This window comes from Homo sapiens, chromosome 4 (genome assembly GCF_000001405.40).
Source record: "Homo sapiens chromosome 4, GRCh38.p14 Primary Assembly".
NCBI classification, from domain to species: domain Eukaryota; kingdom Metazoa; phylum Chordata; class Mammalia; order Primates; family Hominidae; genus Homo; species Homo sapiens.
In genome coordinates, this window is record NC_000004.12 from 1,870,841 (window position 1) to 1,897,023 (window position 26,183).

The following is a 26,183-nucleotide window of genomic DNA, read 5'->3' on the forward strand; positions in this document are numbered from 1 at the left end:
GGCGGTTTCCCCACCCGTCCCCGCACTGCCGCTCCGCGAGGCGGACGCCGCTAGCAGCCTCCCGCGGGCCCCAGGCCCCGCGCCCCTCTCACGGGACAGGAGCTTGGGGACCCGCGCGGGCGGGCCGCGCGCCCAACGCCAGCCTCCGCGGCCGCGCGCCCACGGCTCGGGGGCGCCGGCTCCGGACGGTGATTGGGCGCGGATCGTGACGTCACTGAGCGCGGCGCCCGCGGGCGCCGGGTCTGGGCCGGGTGCGCGCCGCCGAGTAGCGGGAGCAGGGCGCGCGCCCGGCGCTACTCTGAGGCGGCTCGCGGGGCCCGCGGCCCGGCCCTCCCGGCGCTGCCAGCCCCGCCCGCCCGCGCGGCCCCCACCCGCCGCGTGCCTGCCCGCCCCGCCCGTGCGCGGCCCCGGCGCGGATTTGAAAAGCCCGGTCCGCGGGCCCCGCGAGCGCGGCAGCCAATCAGCGGCGCGCACTTTTCCCGCGGCTTCTGCGAGGCGGCGGCGGCCCCGGCTGCGGCGGCGGCGGCGGGCGGGAGGCGCGGGGGCGGGGTCGGCGCCGCGCGCGAGAGCCTCGGCCTGGCCGCGCTGCGCCCGCCGCCGCCGCCGCCCCCTCCCCGCCTGGGCCCTACCGCCGCACGGCCCCGGCCCCCTCCCAGCCTGCCGCTCCGGAGAGCCGCCCGCCGAGGATGCGACGCACCGCAGGTCACTGGGGCGCCCGCCCAACAGTCGCGGGCCGCCAACCGCCGGGGCTGGGGCCGGGAGGCCGGGCTGTGGGAGGCCTGAGGGGCGGCGGGGAGGACCGCGGAGGCCTGAGGGGGCGGGAGCGCCGGGAGGAGTGGGGGCACTGAGGAGGCCTGAGGGGCCGGCTCAGGGGCTGGGGGACCGGGAGGCCGGGCGGCCTGAGAGGGTCGTGGGGACCGCGAGGACCGCGGAGGCCTGAGGGCCGGCGGGAGGACCGGGCGGACCGCGGAGGCCGGGACGAGTCCGGGCAGGGGAGGGGCGGCGGCCTGCGGGCGGCGGCGGCTAACGGGGCCGGGCGGGCGGGCGCGGCCATGTTGGGCCCGGCCGGGCCCTGCGGCTGCACCTGTGCCCGGCCCGGCCGAGGCGGCCGCCTTTGTTCCCGCGGCGCCGAGCGGGTCGGGCCGGCCTTTGTGCGGCGCCCCCGGTCCGGGGCGGCCGCGGTGGGAGGGGCAGGTTGGGGTCCCGGGGCCGGCGCCGGGGCCAGGGGTCGGGCCGAGGGTCGCTTTTTGTTTGCAGGCGGTGTCTGGCGTTGACACTCGCGGCGCCCGGGCGTTGGTCAGCGCGGACGCTCCCCCGGGAAGCCGGGCCGCGGTCCGGCCCTTGGCAGGTGGAGGCGGGGGTGAGCCGGGTGTGGGTACCCTGCTGGGGGGCTGCGCGCCCTCGGCGTCCGGGCCTCCGCCTGGGATGTTCCCCTCGCCCCAGGATGCAGATTGATAGTCCTTGAAGCCTCAGTGCATGAGATGGGACCTGGCGACTTAATGGCTGGTTTTGCTCCACTCACAGGAACCGTGGTTTAAAATCTCGGCGTTTAAAAAATGCTGGTCTTAAGTTTCGGTAGAAATAAAATGGATGAGGGTATTGTATAGGACCCATTGCAGCACGAATCTTTCTGTGCCCACGATGGGCTTTGACATTCAAGTGGAAACATAGTATCAAAACTGATGTGGTGACGTTAATCGTTTTTAGGTAGATAACGTGTATTTTGTGTGTGTGTGTGTGTGTGTGTGTGTGAGAGAGAGAGAGAGAGAGAGAGAGAGAGAGAGAGAGAGAGAGAGCGCGCAGACCCTGTGAAGACAAGACTAATTGGATAAAGTTCAGGCCTGGCTCAGGAGCAGCTCTTCAGTGCTACCCACCTGCTTCACAGACTTTCAAGCCTTGATTTTTAAATGAGTTAAACGCCAGCATCACGCATGGGTTATATTCACTCTATTTTGTGTATTTCAAATATCAACGTGGAAAATAACTTAGGAGCCATCCCATTTATGAACTTGGGACTTAAACTTTTTAATTTTCCCAAAATGTTTTAAGTGCCCTAGTTACGTATTTAAATGTGATGAGAACAACAATATTTTAAAGAGCAGAACGCCAACAACATAAAGCAAACAAGTTCTGTGAGCACAGCCTTTCCTTGTGTACTTGATGTGTGCTCTCATTCCCCACAACTGATGGTGGTTCAAATCTAAACTGCCAAATGGAGATGAAGAGGACTCATGCTTTAAGCACGATTACTTTGAGTCATTTCCTTTTCTTTCCTTCCATTTTCTCAGCCACCCAAACCCAGCAACCTTCAGTTTTGGGCTGATGGTTGGTAGAGTGAGGACTTACTGCACAATTTTGAGTTTGTGTAAGCTTTTGTGAAGAGCTCTGATCTCAGTACAAAAATTGTCCTCTCCTGACTGCATTAATACCAGAGTCTGGCCTCTGATTATAACAGTAAAGATTTTATTTTAAGAGTATGAGGTAATTAACTGAGAATTTGAAAGAATGATGGACAATTTATCGTATCTATTCGTATGTAACATATAAACTAATATAACTTTTGGAGCCATGCACAACAAAATTATAAGGTCAGCAGGCTGCAGGTGCGACTTGCTTTGTTTCTATGCAATCAGCTTATCCAGGGCTTTCAAACCAGTACTTGCTGAAGTGTGCGGACCCAAATGAAGCATTAAGCAGAGTCCTAGAATGAGTCAGGAAGATAATCTGAATAGGTAGAAGACAACCCACTCCTCCTAATCCTGTGGGGCTTACATGGGTACAGCCTTCTGCCTATTCAGATTATCTTCTCCTTCTAAAAGTAATCAAATCTTACAAAGTTTACTCACATGGCAGAATGTGAACTTTTTTTGTTTGAAGATTCAGTGTAAAACATGCAAAAGTAGCTGGAATTAGGCTTACTAAGCTACAGGATTCTCTTTACCAAGCAAGAACTTAAAAGAAGTGCTAAGATGGTGCTGAAGTTCATAATCCAAACGTATTTTGTCCTGTGCTATTTATTTATTTTTAGAGACAGGGTCTCTCTATGTGGCCCAGGCTTGAGTGCAGTGGCTATTTCAGAGGAGAGCAATCATGGTGCACTTCAGTCCCAAACTCTTGGGCTCAAGTGATTCTCCCGCCTCAGCCTCCTGAGTAGTGGTTACTACAGGCACACTCAGCCTTCCTGGCTCTGCCCTGTCCTTTTTAGCTGGGCAAGTGGGCAAATAACCTTTCTAAGTAAATAATTAATCAGCAGCAACAGAAGCCATAAGGCTTTTTACTCATATATTCTGATCTACGTGTTTGGTTTTGCCTTTTTGTTTTTGTTTTGTTTTTTGGTGGGCTGCTCATGGCCATAGAATGCATACAACTTTGGATAAGCATTTTAGTCTTCTGAGCCTCAGTCTCTTGTTTTGCTTGATTGTAGTAAGTGTGACCTTGTTCTCCAAATACGTGGTACCATGTCCTGACTCCAGGCCTTTGTGTGGGCTGTTCTTGGGTGTGGACTACCTGCCACCTGTCCTTCCTCTTTGAGCATAATTCATGGCTTTTTAATGGCCACTTGTGACCTTTCTCCCCTGTTGGGTTAACTCTTAGAGGTAGGACTCTGTCATTGCCTTGGGCAGCATTGCCTCTGCTGGTGCATTCTCATGGCATACACTCAGTAAGTGCCGAATAAATGGGTATATGGCTTAGGGTAAACAAACAGCCCATTTTAATGCCGATATCTGGCCTGTTTGCCTCTCTGTTTTGTAAGTAATGGAGCATCTGGGAGAAGAAGCTGAGTCTAGAAAGGAAATGGCTTGGCTAAGGTCACTCTGAAACATTGCAAGTATATAAGTCCAACAAGTAGTAGAACAGATCTGTACTACCACCAAGATGGAGCAAGAAATCTACCTCGTCAATTTCTCTATCCTTGGTGAAGATAAAAAAATATAAAGTACACAGAATACGAAAGAGGAGATGACATGGGGGCTTTAGAGGATTAGGCTTGTATTTGTAAACTGTATGATTTGCTAATTCCTTTTTAATGAATGGTTATTTACAGCGAGTACTTTGGGGGAGAAAAAGACTTGTGTTGGTAACCCAGGGACTCTAGCATTTTATATTTGTCTATTGGTTGCAATATTGCTCTTTTCTTTTGAGATAGGGTCTCACCTGTTACCTGGTGTGGAGTGCAGTGGTTCAATCATAGCTCACTGTAACCTGGCACTCCTGGGCTCAAGCTTTCCTCCCAGCTCATTCTCCTAAGTAGTTAGGACTACAGGCAGATGCCACCATGCTTGGCTAATTTTAAAATTTTTTATGGAGTCAGTCTTGCAGTGTTTGGGCTGGTCTCTGTAACTCCTGGCCTCAAGTGATCCTCCTGCCTTGGCCTCCCAAAGTACTGGGATTACAAGTGTGAACCACTGTGCCCGGCCAAGTTGCAGTATAGCTTTTTACTTTTTTTTTTTTTTTTTTTGGGACAGGGTTTTGCTGTGTTACCCAGGTTAGAGTGGAGTCATATGATCACGGCTCATTGCAGCCTTGATCACCTGGGCTCAATCGATCCTCCTACCTCAGCCTCCTGAGTAGCTGGGACAACAGGCATGTGCCACCATGCCTGGCTAATTTTTGTGTTTTATACAGACAGGATTTCACCATGTTGCCCAGGCTGGTCATGAACTCCTGGGCTCAGGTGATCCTCCCACTTCGGCCTTGTGCCTGGCCTGCAGTATAGCTTTTTAAAGAATTGATTGATTTGATTACATTTGGTTTGCTAGTTAAAAAATCCAGACAGATTGGCCGGGTGCAGTGGCTCACGCCTGTAATCCCAGCACTTTGGGAGGCCGAGGCGGTTGGATCACGAGGTCAGGAGGTCGAGACCATCCTGGCTAACATGATGAAACCCCGTTTCTACTAAAAAAAAAAAATACAAAAAATTAGCTGGGCATGGTGGTGGACGCCTGTAGTCCCAGCTACTCGGGAGGCTGAGGCAGGAGAATGGCGTTAACCCAGGAGGCGGAGCTTGCAGTGAGCCAAGACTGCGCCACTGCACTCCAGCCTGGGAGACAGCGAGACTCCATCTCAAAAAAAAAGAATTCAAGACAGATTTTGGCTGGGTGCGGTGGCTCAAGCTTGTAATCCCAGCACTTTGGGAGGCCGAGGCGGGTGGATCATGAGGTCAGGAGATTGAGACCATCCTGGCTAACATGGTGAAACCCTGTCTCTACTAAAAATATAAAAAATAAGCTGGGCATGGTTGCAGTGCCTGTAGTCCCAGCTACTCGGGAGGCTGAGGCAGGAGAATGGTGTGAACCTGGGAGGCGGAGCTTGCAGTGAGCTGAGATCGCGCCACTGCCCTCCACCCTGGTTGACAGAGCAAGACCCCTGTCTCAAAAAAAAAAAACCAAGACAGATTTCAAATTAGTTTTGTTTTAGTATCTGCTTTCCTAAAACCACCTGGCCCCAGATGAGTTTTCAAAGCATTTTACTTTCTGTAATACTTAGTGGTTTCAACAAAATATACAAGGATAGAAATTGCAGTGTTGGTTAGCTGAGTGATGGCCTCAGCTCAAAAACTCCAGTAGTGGATAGGCACAGTTGCTCATGCCTGTAATTGCAGCACTTTGGGAGGCTGAGGTGGGAGGATCACTTGAGACTAGGAGTTTGACACCAGCTTGGGCAACATAGGGAGACCCCATCTCTACAAAAATTTTTGAAAATTAGCTGGGCTTGGTGGTGTGTGCCTATAGTCCCAGATACTTGGGTGGCTGAAGTGGGAGGTCACCTGAGTCCAGGACTTTGAGGCTGCAGTGAGCTGTGATCATACCACCACACTCCAGCCTGGGAGATAGCACAACCCTCTCTCAAAAAACAAACCTAAACACAAAACCCCAATAGTGAGACTACCCTAGTGGGTGTGTAGAAAAAATGCTTTTTTTTTCTGGAAGGAATTGGAACCTCAATTTTTAAGTTGACTTGAGTTGGCACTGAGAGAGTTGATGATGTGAATTAAATTTGTTATGCCGTTTGCTGGTGCGGTGGGTGGCTCACGCCTGTAATCCCAGTGCTTTGGGAGGCCAAGGCAGGCAGATCACCTGAGGTCAGGAGTTCGAGACCAGCCTGGGAAATGTGGTGAAACCCCGTCTCTACTAAAAATACAAAAAATTAGCTGGGCGTGGTGGTGGGTGCCTGTAATCCCAGCTACTCGGGAGGCTGAGGCAGGAGACTTCCCTGAGCCTGGGAGGCAGAGGTTGAAATGAGCCGAGATCATGCTACTGCACTCCAGCCTGGGCGACAGGACGAGATTCTGTCTCAAGGAAAAAAAAAAAATTGTTATGCTTTTAGAGGATCTGTGCATGTTAGCAATGTTCTTACATTTTGATGGTTTTCATATATTTTTTGCTGCTATATTATGGAGGCTAATGATCAGAAAGCATTTTTCCGACTCCGGTTTTACTGTCTTCAGGTAGTTCTCTACACACTGCCTTGTCTTTCTAAAATACAGATGTCCTATGTGTCCCCAGTCTTCAGGGGGTGACTCTCACTGCCCATTGGGGTTCAAGACGAGTCTCTCACTGGCTTTCTGACTCTCACTGCACTACTTGTTTTGCCCTCATCTCAGTTACTCAGCTCATCTCTTTCTGCCATGTTTTTCCTCTGGGCCTTTGTGTGGTCAATTTTTGTTCCTTTCTTCTGCCCATGTGCCCCCTTACCCCATGTGTTTGGGGGATAGGCATGCTTTCCCTCTTCCTTCCTTCTGCCAGGTCTCAGCTTGGGCCCCACACTGAATGCTGTGCCTGACTCCTGCCTGTTTTGGGAGGCTCTTGTCTTTTCCATCGTCACCCACTCCCATTCTCATTCTGTTCCAGCCACACGGGCCTCTTGCCTGCTCTGAAGCCCTGCAGCTCTGCTGCCTCCGACTAGTGCCCTTGTTCCTTCTTTGACCTGGAATGCTGTCCCCAGGTATCTGTGTGGCTTACCCCTCACCCTCCTTCAGGTCTTTGTGCTTCTCCCTCTCGGGCACCTTCTCTGACCACTGATTTAAAGTACTCTGTTGTGACCAGGTACTATTACAGTTTATCTGTGATCCTGGTGCTTTATGAAGCCAAGACGAGAGGATCACTCCAGCCCAGGAGTTTGAGGTTGCAGGGAACCACGATTATGCCACTGCATTCCAGACTGGGTGGCAGTAAGACTCTGTCCCAAAAGAAAAATAAAATTTAAAAAAAGTATTATATATATACACACACACTTCTGAGACGGAGTCTAACTCTGTCACCCAGGCTGGAGTGCAGTGGCACAATCTAGGCTCACCACAACCTCTGCTTCCTGGGTTCAAGCGGTTCTCCTGCCTCAGCCTCCCAAGTAGCTGGGATTACGGGTGTGTGCCACCATGCCCGGCTGATATATATATATATATATATATATATTTTTTTTTTTTTTTTTTTTTTTTTTTTTTTTTGTATTTTTAGTAGAGACTAGGCCATGTTGGCCAGGCTGGTCTCGAACTCCTGACCTCAAGTGATCTGCCTGTCTTGGCCTCCCAAAGTGTTCGGATTACAGGCGTAAGCCACCATGCCTGGCCAAAAAAACTTTTTTTAATTATTCTGTTGCTATCTGGCACTCCACATCTGCCTTAGATTTTCTCCATAGCACATACCTCCAACATTCCATGTGAATTCCTGGCTGCATTGGGTCATCTGTGAAGGCAGGGACTTTTTTCCTTTTGCTTGGCTTGCTGTCATGTCCTCAGCACCTGGAATGGTACCTGAGTGACTGTCAGGCATTCAGTGACTATTTGAATACATACACAGCCCTCAGTACTTCGTATGCCTTAGGGGGCATAATATGTCCCAGAAATGGTGTGAATGAAGGGGAGTGGTGTGAGCATTTTGCCTTGATGTGGAGTTGGAAAGGTGGAGGGCCATGGGCTGGTGGCAGAGGTCACAGAAGAGCCTTATGCACCATTAGCAGGGCTGGAGAACTGTGACTTAACCAATGCACAGGAGGCAAGGCTGGGAAGGTGTGGACAGGTGGGAGAGAATGAGCAGAGGCAGCATTGCCCGGACTGGGCCATAGCGTGAGAGTGGTGCAGGAGAGGGTCCTTGGTCCAATCCTTACAGATGGAAAGATTGGGTAGTTGCTGGTACTGTTACCTCTCTGTGAACCAGGGGAAGGGAAAGTGGGCCTCGCTTCTGACCTACCTTATTTCCTTCCAGAAGGAAGCTCTGATCTCACCTACCTGCCTAAAAATGTGTCTCTGGAGCTTCACTGTTTGCTTAGAAGAGAAAGCCCTAGATCTTGAGCATGGCATGTGGTTCCTGCCTGTCTTTCCTTTATGTATCTATGTGTATATATGTAAATATATACAACACTTTTTAAAATTATTTTATTTTATTTTATTTTATTTTTTTGAGACGGAGTCTCGCTCTGTCACCCAGGCTGGAGTGCAGTGGAGTGATCTCAGCTCGCTGCAAGCTCCGCCTCCTGGGTTCACACCATTCTCCTGCCTCAGCCTCCCAAGTAGCTGGGACTACAGGCGCCCGCCACCATGCCCGGCTAATTTTTTTGTATTTTTAGTAGAGACGGGGTTTCACCGTGTTAGCCAGGATGGTCTCAATCTCCTGACCTTGTGATCCGCCCGCCTCGGCCTCCCAAAATGCTGGGATTACAGGCTTGAGCCACCGCGCCTGGCCTACACACATTTTTTAAAAAATGTGTATTTTTTCTTTCCTCTGTGACTCTGGCCAGTGATCCTGCCTGTCTTTCTAGCATCTTTGCTGGCCAGTCCTTTGTGGTTGCTGTGAGATCTCATCATGCTGCCTGTAGCTCTTGTGATGAGCCGTGCCCTGTCCCATGGATCTTTGCATGTGCTGTTGCTTCTTCCTGAGTTGCCTAATTTTGTGTTGCTGTGGTGGTTTTATGGCTCACCTCTCATCTCTGTGAAGCCTTTCCCTATTTCTACCAGAACCGGGTGTTGCAGACCCTGGGCCCATGGCACTTGTGTGTGTGTGTGTGTGTGTGTGTGTGTGTGTGTTTTCTCCCAAGTTTGTCATGCCTTTGTGAGTACTGGGCCCTCTTATGACAGTTAGCATGTTGCACAGGCTCTTGCCCCATTCTCTTCTCCAGGTTGTGAATTTTTCAAGGTGAGGGCCCTTTGATATGTCTTCAGTGCCTAAATGTGGAAAGCACTTAGTTAACAAGTAGAGATAGTTTTTGGGTATTATTCTGTTTTCCTAATGATTTTTATTTCATAAAAATGTGAATTTCTAGATTTTTGGTTAAAATATGTGTTAGAAATAGGAGGCTTCTGTGTTCTTTCCCCTCCAAAATTCGGAGTTGGTGTAATCTTTGTAGAGCCTTGCTACACAAATCTTTCAGCAGCAAAGCATCTTCTTCTCATTGAATCCTCACAGCAGGAAATTGAATCCCAAAGATGTCAAGTAACTGATCCAAAGTCACAAGGCTGTATGTGATGAAGTTAGAACTCCTGCAGGGCCTGACCTCTGATTCTGTACCCTGGGAACTTACTTTGTTTTGCCTCTTGGAAAACTAACATACAGCAGTCTATATGTGCATGGAAGACTGAGCCATTATATTTCTGCCAGTCAGTGTGGCAGTGTACTTCTGCCTGATATTTCTTCATTCATTGAGTATCAGTTGTGTGCCAATGATGAGCCAAGACCTATGTCCTCGTTCCCATGGGTTTTATAGGCCTGTAATGGGATGAAATGGGGAGGGACAGTGAGCAAAGGTCATATCTTTGAAAAATCTGTGAAATACTCCTGCCAAAAAAAAAAAAAATCAAACCTGAGTCCAGTCAAGCTCCTATGTTTAACAACCAATCTACAGGAAATACAGGGGCAAGAGAAATACTACAGAGTTGCCATTGGCAACACTGAGAAATGTGGGAAACTATAAGACCAGTAAGCCATACTCATCAACAGGGAAAAATGAAGGGGACTGATGACAAGAGACTGGAGGAACATGGACTAATTTTTATTGTAGGGCTTATCTGTGTTTGTGTCAGATCAGTTTGTTAGAGAAACAGCTGAATATCATTTGTGATATTTGAGACAGAATTTGGAACACTGATTATATTTATTATTGAGGAATTATTTTTATTTTTAGCTGTGATAGTGGGTTTGTTATGTTTAGTAATTCCTCCCTTTTAGAGGTGCATACAGACATTTACTGATGAAATGGTACATCATCTAGGGTTTGTGTCATGATCCTATGGGAGAGGGAGTAGGTTATTTGTGGTTACATCAGGACTTCAGGGCTGGTCTAGGTTGAGAGTGGTATGGGCACATGGGTTCTAACTTTTTTTTGAGATAGGGTCCCTCCCGGACTCAAATGGTCCTCCCACCTCAGCCTCCTGCGTAGCTGGGACACAGGCGTGTGCCACTACACCTGGCTAATTTTTTATGTGTTTTGTTTTTGTTTCTGTTTTTTTGAGACGGAGTCTTGCTTTCCATCACACAGGCTGGAGTGCAGTGGCGCGATCTCGGCTCACTGCAACCTCCGCCTCCTGGGTTTACGCCATTCTCCTGCCTCAGCCTCCCCAGCAGCTGGGACTACAGGCGCACGCTGCCACGCCCGGTTGATTTTTTTGTATTTTTAGTAGAGACGGGGTTTCACCGTGTTAGCCAGGATGGTCTCGATCTCCTGACCTCATGATCCACCCGCCTCGGCCTCCCAAAGTGCTGGGATTACAGGCGTGAGCCACCGTGCCTGGCTTGTTTTTGTTTTTAAATAGAGACAGGGTTTTGCCATGTTGCCCAGGCTGGTCTTGAATTCCTCGACTCAAGCAGTCCTTCTGCCTGCACCTCCCAAAGTTCTGGGAATACAAGTATGAGCCACCCCTCTGAGCCCTGGTTCTAATTATTCTCTCCACATTTATATGTGTTTAGAATTCCTCATCACACAAAGCAAGTCATGAAGGAAAGATCTAGGTGCATATAATAGGGAGGTTATACCTGACAAGGCTTTGGGAAAGACTTCCTGATGGGATAGACACTAGAGCAGGGAGCAGAGAGCAGAACGGGGATTGGGTGTTGGCTCCATGAGGGTGGGGGTGAGTATCAGATGGAGGGAAGAGCCTGTGCAGAGCTTCTGTGATAGAGCAGGAAGAAGCTGGTGTGGCTGGAGCAGAGGGTGTCAGGCAAGTTCTTTTAGGTCCTGTTAAGAGCAATGTGAGGTTTTAAGGGTGATGGTGTGACATGAATCTATTTGCTTTGGAAAGAAGATTCCTCAGATTGCTCTGTAGATTGAGTTGGTGCTGGGGAAGGTTCCGGAAGAGTGTGTACAGAAGCCCAATCTGTGGTCACTCTGTTCAGGTGAAAACCTTTCCTTTGTCCCTGCTTTGGGTCCCTGATTGGATTGGACAGCCCTGTCTCCTTGAAATGTGGTGTGGCCTGTGATTTGCTCTGGCCATTGGAAAGTGACACGTAACTTCTGAGTGGAAGCGCTGAGACACGTGCTTTATCGTGTTCCCTTTCTCTTGTTTCTGACTGTGGAAACAAACGGATATGTACTATGGGCAAGAAAGAAAACTTTGGGCTGGGCTTAGTGGCTCATGCCTGTAATCCCAGCACTTTGGGAGGCCGAGGCGGGTGGACACGAGGTCAGAAGATCGAGACCATCCTGGCTAACACGGTGAAACCCCGTCTCTACTAAAAACACACAAAAATTATCTGGGCGTGGTGGCGGGCGCCTGTAGTCCCAGCTACTCGGGAGGCTGAGGCAGGAGAATGGTGTGAACCCGGGAGGTGGAGCTTGCAGTGAGCTGAGATCGCGCCACTGCACTCCAGCTTGGGCGACAGAGCAAGACCTCTGTCTCAAAAACAACAACAACAACAACAACAAAAAACTGGGTTGAGCCAAGTAACAGTTTTGGGCTTGTTACTGTACCATAACCTAGTCTCCAGTGGTTCTCAAAGTCTGGTCCCCAGACTGGCAGCTTCAGTGGCCTGGATGCTAGTTAGAAATGCACATTTTCATGTCTCAGACCTACTGCATCATGAACTCTGGAGTGGGGCCCAACAATCTGTGTTCTAATGTGTCCTTCATGTGATTCTGATGCCCTTGAGTTGAGAGCTACTGTCTGAATTTCCTGACTGATAAGTCAGGAGGCTGTTGGCGTCAGTCTTGGTGAAAGAGCTTGGTGGTTGGCCATTCTTGGGATTGTGGGTGTGGAGAAAAGTGGACAGGCCTAGCTAGGAAGGCCTCTGGAGTAAAATTGATAAGTTGTGTTGTTTGGGATAAGGAGAGATGAGGGGAAGTTCTGGTGCCAGTGATAGCCCTAAGTTTTTGTCTGACAGAACCAGATGGCTAGAGGTGCCATTTACTGTCCAGATAGCATTCTTTCTGTGTGCATTTACATTACCTTCCATTTCAGGTTCAGAAACAAGAGAAAGCCCATTAAGAAATAAAAATTTGTGGACTTCCTTAGCTCAAGTAACAGTTTCTCAATGAACCCCACCTTGATACCCCTCCCCCCATTTAAAAGTGTACCCCCTCTGCAGGGCTGGGCGCAGTGGCTCAGGCCTGTAATCCCAGCACTTTGGGAGGCTGAGGCAAGCAGATCACTTGAGGCCAGGAGTTCAAGACCAGCCTGGCCAACATGGCGAAACCCTGTCTCTACTAAAAATACAAAAAATAGCTGGGCGTGGTGGCGCACACCTGTAACCCCAGCTACTCAGGAGGCTGAGGCACGAGAATTGCTTGAACCAGAAGGTGGAGGTTGCAGTGAGCCCAGATTACACCACTGCACTCCAACCTGGGTAACAGAGCAAGACTTTGTTTCCAAAAAAAAAAAAAAAAAAGCGTACCTCCTCCGCTCTGCTGATCCCACCTTGTTTGTTGTCCCCATCTGCTCTCCCAGCTGTAGTGGAAGCCCCATGAAAGCAGGGCTCTTGTGTCTTGTCCATGGCTGCATTCCCAGAGCGAGCAGCATGTGTGGGTGCTCAGCATGTGTGAGCTGAAGGAGCTGCCTAGATGGCGATAAGAAGCGAGTGTGGCCCACATGGAGCTGCACGCAGGAGCTGCGTTGCTGCCTCTTGTTCTCTGTTCATGGTTTTCTACACAGTAGCCTAGGATAGAGGCTGAACTGTCACGAGAGCATGGAGAAGCTTGTTTAACTTAAGACAACTTATTCTTCCTTAAGTGGGAGAGAAAAATGACATTTCAGCAGAAGCAGCACTACCCACAATGAAAACTTACAAAATGAGACTACTGAGAAAGTTGCAGATATAAAAATTAGATTTTTCTCCCTTTTTTTGTCGGGGAGGAGATGGGGTCTTGCTCTGTCACCCAGGCTGGAGTGCAGTGGCATGATCTTGGCTCACTGCAACCTCTGCCTCCTGGGTTCAAGCCATCCTCCCACCTCAGCCTCCCAAGTAGCTGGGACTATGGGTGCATGCTACTGTGCCTGGCTAATTTTTGTATTTCTTGTAGAGATGGGATTTTGCCATGTTGCCCAGGCTGGTCTCGAACTGCTGAGCTCAAGTGATCTGGCCCACCTTCGCCTCCCAAAGCACTAAGATTACAAGTGTGAGCCACCGCAGGCCCCTTTTGTTCTTTTTTTTGAGACGGAGTTGTGCCCTGTCACCCAGGCTGGAGTGCAGTGGCCCAATCTTGGCTCACTGCAACCTCCAGCTCCCTGGTTCAAGTGATTCTCCTGCCTCAGCCTCCCGAGTAGCTGGGATTACAGACATGTGCCACCACGCCTAGCTAATTTTTATATTTTTAGTAGAGATGGGGTTTCACTATGTTGGCCAGGATGGTCTCGATCTCCTGACCTCACGATCTGCCTGCCTTGGCCTCCCAAAGTGCTAGGATTATAGGCGTGAGCCACTGGGCCCAGCCTCGTTCTTTATCTGCAAATTGTATGCTCTATTTGTAGAAGACAAATTGGGATTATATATCGTGTTAACAGTTTATTGGGTTCTTTTCAGTTGAGTTCTGAAATCTGCAAGTGTGTCTTTAAAATTCAACTGCCTGGGCTGGGCGTGGTGGCTCACGCCAGTAATCCCAGCACTTTGGGAGGCCGAGGCAGGCGGATCACCTGAGGTCAGGAGTTTGAGACCAGCCTGACCAACATGGAGAAACCCTGTCTCTACTAAAAATACTAAAAATTAGCCAGGCGTGGTGGCGGCAACCTGTAATCTCAGCTACTCAGGAGGCCGAGGCAGGAGAATCGCTTGAACCCGGGAGGCGGAGGTTGCAGTGAGCCGAGATCATGCCATTGTATTCCAGCCTAGGTGACAAGAGCAAAACTCTGTTTCAAAAAAAAAAAATAAAAATAAAAAAAATAAAATTCAACTGCCTGTAACTCCTTTGAAACAAATAGTGCTGCTTGTTTGTCCACTATCTACCTTTTTAGGCTGAATGCATGTCTATTTTTTATATACCAGTATGTTCACAGCTGCTATAAGGCATTTCAGCAAATTAGTGGATTAAATCAGTAAAGGGCAGAAACAAGACATTGCCAGTGCCCTATCTCAGACACCTGCTTATGGATCAGTGGAGCATTATTGAGGGCTCTCTGCTGATTCAGAAAAAATAACAACAGAATGAACTGTGATCATTGCCTTCTCTTTTCTTTGCGAGAGGGGGCCCTGGTCATTCTTGTAAGTTGATAAAACTTCTGATATGTTGATAAAACTTCTGAGGTAAAGGAAGTCTGTCTCAGTGGCCCCTGTTGACATGTATTTTGATAGGACCTTGTCCTTGCTCTGCATTTCTGCCTCTGGGGAGTCTCAAGTGGCTGCTTGGGGCCACACATCATGCTGGAGTGTGGAGGCATGCTCTGGGTCCTTGAGCCTAGCTGCTCTTCATGGCTGTGCCTTCTTGGTGGGTGCCCCTCTCAGGAGCTGTTACTGCCTCTCTTGGTACCCATGCACTGCTCCTCTTTGTTACCACCCAGAGATCTCTGCACCGGTTCTGCAGAGCTGCCCTGAGTACAGGTAGTTCCTCACTGCTCTCTTCCCTCAGGACAAGTTCCAGGCGCAGGAATGATATAGAAAAACTGAGTTGTGTGAGTTCCAGCCTAGAGTTTATATAAATTTTATTTCCAGAGATGTGCAATTTGACACATCATTATGGCAAAATTAGCTTAAGTATTTTTAATAATTCTATAATCAGAAAATATATTTTATGAATAATTTGTAGAATACAGAAAAGTGGAAGGATACATACAACTCTGCTCTCACCAACCAAAATGTTGAAGCATATTTTCTGCTTATCTTTTCCTTTACGAAACTAAAGCGCGTCCATTGAAGACGTATGCTTTGTGAGTCTTGTAATCAAAGGTGACAGTCCCTGCTGTACTCCCCTTCAGAGTTCCATCAAGGCAACCTCTGCTCTTTCAGCTGTTTCCTTTTTTTCTTTTTTCTTTTTGAGACAGGATCTCACTGTGTGGCCAGGGCTGGAGTGTGGTGGTATGATCTCAGTTCACTGCAACCTCCATCTCCTGGGCTCAGGCAATTCTCGTGCCTCAGTCTCCTGAATAGCTGGTATTACAGGTGTGCACCACTATGCCCAGCTAATTTTTGTATTTTTAATAGAGACAGGGTTTCACTATGTTGGCCAGGCTGGTCTTGAACTCCTGGCCTCAAGTGATTCACTCATCTTGGCCTCTGAAAGTTCTGGGATTACGGACTTGAGCCACTGTGCCTGGCCTTTCAGCTGTTTCTATTTATCTGTACTTTAAAAAGTAACTTGCGGCTGGGCGCGGTGACTCACGCCTGTAATTCCAGCACTTTGGGAGGCCGAGGCGGGCAGATCACAAGGTCAGGAGATCAAGACCATCCTAGCCAACGTGGTGGAACCCCGTCTCTACTAAAATACACACACCCAAAAAATTAGCCAGGCGTGGTGGCGTGCACCTGTAGTCCCAGCTACTCAGGAGGCTGAGGCAGGGTACTCGCTTGAACCTGGGGAGGTGGAGGTTGCAGTGAGCTGAGATCGCGCCACTGCACTTGAGCCTTGGGACAGAGCGAGACTCCATCTCAAAAAAAAAATAACTTGCTTATTTTGCTAATTTTAGAACTTCCAGATTGATATATGTTCAATTCTATCTGTGGAAGATGATGGAAGATTTAGCTTTCTTAACCCGCCCCCTCTTACCTCCCATGTTACCTCCCTTCTTCTTCCCAACATTCCCAATATTGTGGTGGTTTGATGATCTATTCCAGAACTTAGTGGTTGAAAAAACAACAACCTGTATTTGTTTACAGTTTTGTAAGTGGGACATGGTTTGCCAGGGTTAGCTTGTTCCTCCTGCTCCATGTGATGCCAGCTTGTTGGTACTGGCTGTCAACTGTGAGAGTTCAGTAGGGACTTTTGGCCATGGGCTTCATTCTTCCCAGTGTGGTCTATCCTATGAGGCTGCTTGGGCTTCCTTGCAGCGTGGTGGCTGGTTCCATGAGGGAGGAAGTGAGATCTGCCAGTCGTTTTAAATGCTGTAGTGAGAACTGTCATCACTTTTGACATGTTCTTCTTTTTTTTTAAATCTCCCTTGCTCAGTTATAGCAAGTCCCCACTTTTGCCATGTTTTGTTGGTAAAAACAGCTACAGGGCCAGGCTAGACTCAAGGGAGTGGGGAAACAGACCTTCATCTCTTGGTAGAGTGACAAAGAATTATTGACCATCTTTATTTATATTTTATTGGTGAGGTCTTGCTCCCTTGCGCAGGCGAGAGTACAGTGGCACGATCATAGCTCACTGTAGCCTCCAACTCCTGGGCTCAAGCAGTCCTCCTACTTCAGGCTACCAAAGTGCTGGGATTACAGGTGTGAGCGTGAGCCACTACACCTGGCTAATTTTTGTTGGCTGTTTTTAATCTACCACACTTTTATAGCAAGGTTTGGTTTAAATGAATATAAATTGTTACATTGTTCAGCTAAATCATACACTGTGATGGATAATATTTACTTGTATGACTTTGTTTTCCTGGTGGTAAGTTTTTCTGTTGGCTTTATTTTCCATGTATCTGTTACTAATTCAGCCTAAAGTTTTTCAAATGAACTGTATAAAAAGCCTTTGGGATGGTCAGTTACACTAGATCTGTCAGTTCCTTTTTTTCTTTTTTTTTTCTTCTGTGATGACCTTTCTCCCAGAGCTGTCTTCCTGCTCCAGATTGGACTCCTCCCTATTCTGCTGCACAGCTGTTCACATCATCTTCTGCGATGGACCATCTGTTTTTTGCATCTCATGTCTTCCTTAGTTTACCTTCATGTTTGGTGATACGTGGTCTGATAGTTATCTTAAAATATGTGTGAGGCAACGTTTATTAAGGCTATATGGCTGGGTGCGGTGGCTCACGCCTGTAATCCCAGCACTTTGGGAGGCTGAGGTGGGTGGATCACCTGAGGTCAGGAGTTCGAGACCAGCCTGGCCAACATGGTGAAACCAGTCTCCACTAAAAATACAAAAATTAGCCAGGCCTGGTGTTGGGCACCTGTAATCCTAGCTACTCAGGAGGCTGAAGCAGGGAGAATTGCCTGAACCTGGGAGGCAGAGGTTGCAGTGAGCTGAGATCAGGCCACTGCACTCCAGCCTGGGTGACAGAGCGAGATTGCCTCAAAAAAAAAAAAAAAAAAAAAAAAAAAGACTTTATATGCCAGAGAATCATCTGTGCATATCCTCAGCTGATAGCTTGGTTGGGTATATATCATTTAGGTTGGTAATGATTTTTTCCTCAGAATTTTGAAGGCATTACTTTATTTTTTAATTTTTAAATTGTTTTTATTTTTTTTGAGACTGAGTCTCACTCTGTCACCCAGGCTGGATTGCAGTGGCAATCTCGGCTTACTGCGGCCTCCACCTCCAGGGTTCAAGCGATTTTCCTGCCTCAGCCTCCGGAGTAGCTGGGATTACAGGCGTGAACCCACTGCGCCTGGCTAATTTTTGTATTTTTAATAGAGATGGGGTTTCACCATGTTGGCAAGGCTGGTCTCAAACTCCTGGCCTCAAGTGATCCACCGGCCTCGGCCTCCCAAAGTACTGGGATTACAGGCGTGAGCCACCACGCCTGGCTGCTTTATTATTTTTGAGCTTCCCATGTATATTAGTATTTTTTTTTTTTTTTTGAGACAGTCTCACTCTGTTGGCCAGGGTGGAGTGCAGTGGCATGATCTCGGCTCACTTGAACCTCCACCTCCCGGGTTCAAGTGATTCTTCTGCCTCAGCCTCCCGAATAGCTGGGATTACAGGCACCCGCTACCATGCCTGGCTAATTTTTGTATTTTTAGTAGAGACGAGGTTTCGCCATTTTGGCCAGGCTGGTCTGGAACTCCTGACCTCAGGTGATCCACCCGCTTTGGCCTCCCAAAGTGCTGGGATTACAGGCGTGAGCCACTGCGCCCAGTCGTATATTAGTATTTTTTGAGACAGGGTCTTCTTCTGCCACTCAGGCTGGAGTGCAGTGGTGTAATTATGGCTCACAGCCTCTACCTCTTGGGCTCAAGCGATCCTCCCACTTCAGCTTCCTGAGTAGCTGGGACTACAGGCATGCGCTTCCACACCCAGCTAACTTTTTTACTTTTTGTGGAGCTGAGGTTCTTGCTATGTTGCCCAAGCTGGTCTTGAACTCCTGGGCTCAAGCGATCCTCCTGCCTGGGCCAACCAGAGTGCTGGGATTATGGGTGTGAGGCACCACGCCCGGCCAAGATTTGACTTTTTTTTTTTTTTGAGTCGGAGTTTTGCTGTTGTTTCCCAGGCTGGAGTGCAATGGCACCATCTCGGCTTACTGTAACCTCCGCCTCCTGAGTTCAAGCGATTCTCCTTCCTCAGCCTCCCAGGTAACTGGGATTACAGGCATGTGCTACCATGCCTGGCTAATTTTGTATTTTTAGTAGAGAGAGTTTCATCATGTTGGTCAGGCTGGTCCTCAGGTGATCCACTCCTGACCTCAGGTGATACACCCGCCTTGACCTCCCAAAGTGCTGGGATTACAGGCGTGAGCCACTGTGCCCAGCCGACCTTTTTTTTTTTTAATTGAGATAAAATTCACATAACATTTATTGTTTAAACCATTATAGAGTGTACAATTCAGTGGTGTTTTTGGTATGTTCAGTGTTGTGCAAAAGTTGCTACTACCTAATTCCTAAACATTTCATCAGCTCAGTAAAAAACTCTGCACTGTTAAGCAGTCACTTCCTATCCTCTCCTCTCCCAGCCCCTGGCAGCCATTCTACTTCTGTCTTTATGGATTTGCTTATTTTAGACATTTTACATAAATGGAATCATACAGCATGTGGCCTTTGTATCTAGCTTCTTTCACTTAGCATCATGTTTATCTATGTTGTAGCATAAATCAGGACGTCATTTCTTTTTGTGGCTAAATATCCATCGCATGGATAGATCATTTTGTTCAACCATTCATCAGTTGATAGACAGTTGGGTTGCTTTTTGCTATTACGAATAATGCTGCTGTGAACATTCTTGTACAAGTTTTTTTTGTTTTGTTTTGTTTTTTGTTTTTTTTTTGAGATGGCGTCTCGCTCTGTCGCCTAGGCTGGAGTGCAGTGGCATGATCTCGGCTCACTGCAAGCTCCGCCTCCCGGGTTCACGCCATTCTCCTGCCTCAGCCTCCCGAGTAGCTGGGACTACAGGCGCCCGCCACCATGCCCGGCTAATTGTTTTTTGTATTTTTAGTAGAGACAGGGTTTCACTGTGTTAGCCAGGATGGTCTCGATCTCCTGACCTCGTGATCCGCCCACCTCGGCCTCCCAAAGTGCTGGGATTACAGGCGTGAGTCACCGCACCCGGCCTATACAAGGTTTTTTATTGAGATGGAGTTTCACTTTCGTTGCCCAGGCTGGAGTACAATGGCATGATCTCGGCTCACTGCAACCTCCGCCTCCTGGGTTCCAGTGGTTCTACCTCAGCCTCCCAAGTAGCTAGGATTACAGGCGCCCACCACCACGCTTGGCTAATTTTCTATTTTTAGTAGAGACGGGGTTTCACCATGTTGGCCAGGCTGGTCTCGAACTCCTGACCTCAGGTGATCACCTGCCTCAGCCTCCCAAAGTGCTGGGATTACAGGGGTAAGCCACCACGCCCGGCCTTTTTTTTCTTTTGTGAGACAAGGTCTCACTCTGTCACCCAGGCTGGAGTGCAGTGGCGTGATCTTGGCTCACTGCAGTCTCCACCTCACAGGCTGAAGTGGTCTTCCCACCTCAGCTTCCCGCGTAGCTAAGACCACAGGCACATGCCACCACGCCCAGCTAAGTTTTGTATGTTTTGTAGAGACAGGATTTTGCCATGTTGTCCAGGCTGATGTCGAGTTCTTGGGCTCAAGCAATCCTTCTGCCTTGGCCTCCCATAGTACTGAGATTACAGGTGTGAGCCACTGTGCCCCGCCTACGTGGAATTGTTTTATATGAGAACAGAGGTTCTACCATCATTCAGTGATAGCAGGGCTGAAATATATTTCAGGCAGACTAGTGTGATATATTAGAAAATGAGGGTATTTTAGGTATGTGTAAATCATATTTGCAAACTTGGGTTTTCCATTTCAGTCTTTTCCGCCCCCGGAGGAATGGGTTGGAGCTTGGTCCGTCTCACGGCCTGGCTCTGGGGAATGTCCTGAATATCTCACTGCTGTCCTAGGGTTGAGACCTCCTTCTGCTCAGTTGGATTCACGGAATTATCAGAGTGGGCTTTAGCTGACATCTAAGCCAGTGGGCAAGGTTGGAGCAGTGAGGCCTACTGTGTCTGAAGTGTTAAAGCTCCCCAGAGAACCGGGCACGGTGGCTCATGCCTGTAATCCTAGCACTTTGGGAGGCTGAGGCGGGCAGTTCACGAGGTGAGGAGATCGAGACCATCCTGGCTAACATGGTGAAACCCCATCTCTATCAAAAATACAAAAATAAAAATTAGCCGGGCGTGGTGGTCGGCACCTGTAGTTCCAGCTACTCGGCAGGCTGAGGCAGGAGAATGGCGTGAACACGGGAGGCGGAGCTTGCAGTGAGCCGAGATCGCGCCATTGCACTCCAGCCTGGGCGACAGAGGGAGACTCCATCTCAAAAAAAAAAAAAAACAAAAAAAAACAAACAAAAACGAAAAAACGAAAAACCTCACCAGAAATGCACACTAGGGCTTACCCAGCCCCAGTCCAGGAAGGAATAGTCTTCCTGCCTCCCCATTGCCCTCTATGCTTTCTCTTTTCCTAGCATATCTACTCTTCCTATTTTCTGCCTCTCTCCTCTAGAATATTAGCACCTCAAGAATAAGGAAGGCATTTTGTTTGTTGCTCTATTTCCAAGTGCTGGAGAACTTGGGTGGGACTCAGTGGTTCTTTATTTTTATTTCTTTATTTTTATTTTAATTTTAGAGATGGGTCTCGCCATCACCATGTTGCCCAGTCTGGTCTCCAACTCCTGGGCTCAAGCGATCCTCCTGCCTTGGTCTCCCAAAGTGCTGGGATTACAGGTGTGAGCCCCCACACCCGGCCTGAGTGAGTGGGTTCTGAATGGTGACTGTTGTTGTCCATAGCCTTCCCCCTGCTTCTGAGAGTGGAGTCCCTCCCCTCATGTTGGAGACCTCCCAAGGTCCATGTGGTCCTATAGGGGCTGTTCAGCCTCCCTAGCCCCTTAACGTGTCAGGTAATACTGTATATATTCCATGAAATGTGAATAATTAGTTATATAATTCCTAAGCACTTATTTTAAAAAACAGCAATGTGATGCTTAACTCTTCCCACCTCTGTTCCTGTCCCCCTTAGAAAACCACTGATAACTCTTTTTTTTTTTGAGACGGAGTCTTGCCCTGTCGCCCAGGCTGGAGTGTAGTGGCCTGATCTCGGCTCGGCTCATTGTAACCTCCGCCTCGGGTTTGAGCGATTCTCCTGCCTCAGCCTCCTGAGTAGCTGGGATTATAGGCGTGCACCACCACGCCTGGCTAATTTTTTGTATCTTTAGTAGGGACGGGTTTCACCATGTTGGCCAGAGTGGTCTTGAACTCCTGACCTTGTGATCCGCTCGCCTCAGCCTCCCAAAGTGCTGGGATTACAGGCATGAGCCACCGTGCCTGTCCTAGAACCACTGGTAACTCTTAACTGGTAATTTTTGTTTTAACCTCTGTATTTTTATTTTTCACCTGAGTGCTCAAATATTTTCATCTTTTTTATAATGGTCATGTTGCATTTGTAATTTTAAGAAGAAAAATATTTATAAACGAGGAATTCTTAGGTTATTAGTCTTCTTCCTACAACAGCACTTCTCCAGTACCAATCTGATTCCTCTAAGTCCGCATCCCCAGGTTTGACATCTCTAACTCTAATCCCTTCCGTTCTTTGTCCTTGTGATTTTACACCTTTCTTTTGTGAAAGAGATATGCATATTAAACTCTCAGGCCAGGCTCGGTGGCTTAAATGCCTCCAATCCCAGCACTTTGGGAGTCCGAGACGGGTAGATCACCTGAGGTCAGGAGTTCGAGACCAGCCTGGCCAACATAGTGAAACCCCGTCTCTACTAAAAGTACAAAAAAATGAGCCAGGCGTGGTGATGCATGCCTGTAGTCTCAGCTACTCGGGAGGCTAAGGCAGGAGAATCACTTGAACCCAGCGGCAGAGGCTGTGGTGAGCTGAGATTGTGCCACTGGCACAGTTCCAGCCTGGGCGACAGAGACTCCGTTTCAATAAAAAAATAAATAAATAAACTCTCAGTCTTTGCATATTGCAAGATGTATTTTGCCTCTTTTTTTGTTTTTTGTTTTTTTTTTTTTTTTGTTTTGTTTTGAGACAAGGTCTTGCTCTGTACCCCAGGCTGGAGTGCAGTGGTGCTTTCTTGGCTCTCTGCAATCTCTGCTGCCCAGGCTCAACTGATCCTCCTGCCACAGCCTCCCCAGTAGCTGGGATTATGGGCATGCACCCAGCTGATTTTTGTATTTTTTTGCAGAGACAAGATTTCGCCATGTTGCCCAGGCTGGTCTCGAACTTCTGAGCTCAAGCGATCTACCTGCCTCGTCCTCCCAAAGTGTTGGAATTGCAGGTGTGAGCCACTGCACCCGGCCCTTGCCTCATGTTTGAATGATAATTTACCTGGGCATAAAATTCTGGACACTTGTGGTGGCACGAGGTGGGCATTTATTTTCCCTTAATGCTTGCTTGATTGATTGACAGACAGTCTTGCTCTGTAGCCCAGGCTGCAGTACAGCGGCATGCTTATAGGTTGCTGTAGCCTCGAATTCTTAGGCTTAAGTGATCCTCCTCCCTCAGCCTCTGAAGAAGCTAGGAGTAGCTTCTAGGACTAGCTTCTAGGACTGTAGGTGTGTGTCACTGTACCTGGCTAAATTTAAAATTTTTTGTAGAGACGGCGTCTTACTATGTTGGCCAGGCTGGTCTCAGACTCCTGACCTCGAGTGATCTTCCCACTTCAGCCTCCCAAAGTGGTGGGATTACAGGTGTGAGCCACCACGCCTGGTGAAGATTTTCTGTTTGTCCTCCATGTTCTGTCATTTCAATACAATGTATCTAGATGATTTGTTTTCATTTATTTTGCTCAGAACATAGGGTGCTCTTTTATTCAGAATATCTAATTTTCCTTTCATCTCTGGAAAATGTTTCACCTCTTTGAAATTTGTTGGCTGGCTGAGGTGGCTCAACCTGTAATCCTACCACTTTGGGAGTCCAGGAGTTTGAGACCAGCCTGGGCAATGTGGTGAAACCCCGTCTCTACAAAAAATACAAAAATTAGCCAGTGTGGTGGTGCATGCCTGTATTCCCAGCTAATTGGGAGGCTGAGGTGGGAGGATTGCTTGGGCCCAGGAGTTCTAGGATGCAGTGAGCTGTGATGGCACCATTGCATTTTAGCCTGGGCAACAGAGGAAGACCCTGTCTCAATAAAAAAAAAAAAAAAAATGAAAAGAAGAAGTTGTCTTTCCCTCATCCTCCCAAGCCTCTCCAACTAGAACTGCATTGGAATGTAAGCTCCTTGAAGGTAGAGGATTTTTGGGGGTATACGTAACATAAAATTTACCATTTTAACTATTTTAAAGCATTTAGTTCTATGGTCTTAAGTGCATTCACATTGTTATACAACCATGACACTGTCTCCAGAACTTTTTCATCTTCTCAAACTGAAACTCTGTCCCATAATTCCCCATCCTCCTTTTTCTTCCCCCAGTTTCTGGCACTCACCATTCTACTTCCTGTCTCTATGTATTCTATTCTGGGGACCTCATGTACGTGGAATTTTACAGTATTTGTCTTTTTTGTGTCTGCCTTATTTCACTTAGCATAGTTTCTTCAAGATTCGTCCATATTGAAGCAGATATCAGCATTTCCTTCCTTTTAAAGCTGAATACTACTCCACTGTGCAGATAGTCTACATTTTGGTTATCTATTCATCTGTTGATGGGTTACGTCTACCTTTTGGCTACTGTAATAGTGCTCCTGTGAACATGGTTGTACAAATATCTTCTGGTTCCTGCTTTTAATTCTTTTGGGTAGACAGACTGTTTTTCACCCTGTTTTGTTCAATGTTATAATCCCAACACCTAAAATCAGTGTCTTGCTCATAGTAGGCACTTTATATTTGAAAGAATGAAACATTCATGAATGTTATGTCTTAATTTATCTTACATGGTTTTCATCTCTTTATCAGCCCTTTTCCTTGCTGATTCTCTCAGATTTATCTTCTAATCTATTATATTTTTAGCTGTGCCTGGTCTGCTATATTCAACTCAACTGAGTTTTTAATTTCAATACCAATACTTTTTTTTTTCCAAGTCTGCAAATCATGAAAACAGTAATTTCCTGTTCTCCTGTAGAAGACCTTCCATACTGTCCCATGCCTGGCTCCTGGAGGATCTCTCACTGCTGGTGGGAGGCTGTGTTTACCTCAGGGGCATCTCTCAGTGGCTCTCCCGGGGAGAGGGGGGCTCCCCATGAGCAGTTCTCAGGTTTCCCTGCAGGTCCTACCAGTGTCACTCATTCTAGACCTGTTTTGACATTTTTTGGTCTCCGGATTTAGCCTTCTTAGGCGGAGGCTTGGGGTTCACATTTCTCAAGGGTGGCTCTGTCACCCCAGTGGCCTCTGGTGGGTGTTTGCTGAGGGCCCAGCCCTGGGCTGGCTGGTAGAGGGGCTCAGGTGATGATGACAGCACTGTGACCACAGACACTCACCTGGTGATGAGGAAGTCCTCTGCCTGGTGGTGGCTTCTTTTCCTCCTTACTGTTTGAAAGTACCTGCAAGGTGGGTCCTCTGTCCTCAGGACATGGAGTGAGGATGAGTGGTAGAGGCTCTTGGCCGGGGTCCCACAGTGTAGTAAGTGGCAGAGCTGGGATTCTAGTCCAGACAGCAGCTCCACACTTGGTGCTCCTAATCACGGCAGCCAGCTGCTCGCCATGACTCCTCTCCTTCGGGCTCTGTGCAGGCAGCCCAGTCAGGCCCAAGCCCCTGTCCTGCACCTCCCTTCTGTATTCCGGCTGCCAAGCCCCAGCACCTAAACCCTGGGGTCCTGCCATGGGCAGCCTGCAGCCTATGAGGCTCCAGACTGCTGTTCCCTTTTCATTTCTAGACCTGGAGATTCTCTCTATTGCTTTGCATTAGGCAGTGTAGCTAGACAAGGTCTTGCTGAGTCTGGCGTGCAATAGTGTGGTCACAGCTCACTGCAGTGTCAACCTCCTGAGCCCAAGCCATCCTCACACCTCAGCCTCCCGGGTAGCTGGGACTGTAGATGTGCGCCAGTGTGCCTGGCTAATTTTATTTTTTGTAGAGACAGGGTCTCACTATGCTGCCCAGGCTCATCTCAAACTGCTGGGTTCAAGCAATCCTCCCTCTTTGGCCTCCCAAAGTGCTAGGATTACAAGTAGTGAACCACTGTGCCCGGCCTCCCTCCCTCCCTCCCTTCCTTCCCGAACTCTTCCATTCCTCTCCTTCCTTCCTTTCCTTCCTTCCCTTCTCTCTTTCTCTTTCTTTCTTTCCTTCTTTCTTCTCTTTTTTTTCTTTTCTTTTCTTTCTTTCTCTCTCATTCTTTCTTTCTTTCTTTTCCTTTCTTCTCTTCTCTTTTCTTTTCTTTCTCCTTGCCTTCCCCAACATAAGAAAGATAGTTAAACCCGGGTATGGTGGCTCACATCTGTAATCCCAGCACTTTGAAAGGCCAAGGCGGGTGGATCGCTTGAGCCCAGGAGTTGGAGACCAGCCTCGGCAACATGGTGAGACTTTGTACAAAAACACAAAAATTAGCTG

At 48.4% G+C, this 26,183-nt stretch overlaps 1 protein-coding gene across 22 annotated transcripts in view, besides 2 other annotated features; it reads left to right on the forward strand.

Annotated features, from left to right (window-relative positions):
* Positions 7-236: a silencer, noted in NCBI's record as "silent region_15150". NCBI's record gives its function as "represses an Ori minimal core promoter by ATAC-STARR-seq in GM12878 lymphoblastoid cells {active_cell/tissue: GM12878}" and the evidence as "EXISTENCE:reporter gene assay evidence [ECO:0000049][PMID:35858748]".
* Positions 287-986: a silencer, noted in NCBI's record as "silent region_15151". NCBI's record gives its function as "represses an Ori minimal core promoter by ATAC-STARR-seq in GM12878 lymphoblastoid cells {active_cell/tissue: GM12878}" and the evidence as "EXISTENCE:reporter gene assay evidence [ECO:0000049][PMID:35858748]".
* The window catches only part of NSD2 (nuclear receptor binding SET domain protein 2), a 110,800-nt gene continuing 85,169 nt past the window's right edge, over positions 553-26,183 (forward strand). For 13 of the 22 annotated variants that reach the window (XM_047416137.1, NM_001440893.1, NM_001440900.1 and 10 more), the window contains exon 1: positions 553-702. The gene's annotated coding sequence lies outside the window, so the exon portion shown is untranslated. Of the gene's footprint in view, positions 703-21,325; positions 21,424-21,941; positions 22,052-22,886; positions 23,070-26,183 lie in introns of those variants that run through there. The other 9 variants (NM_001440892.1, XM_047416141.1, NM_133330.3 and 6 more) reach the window with 6 other exon arrangements.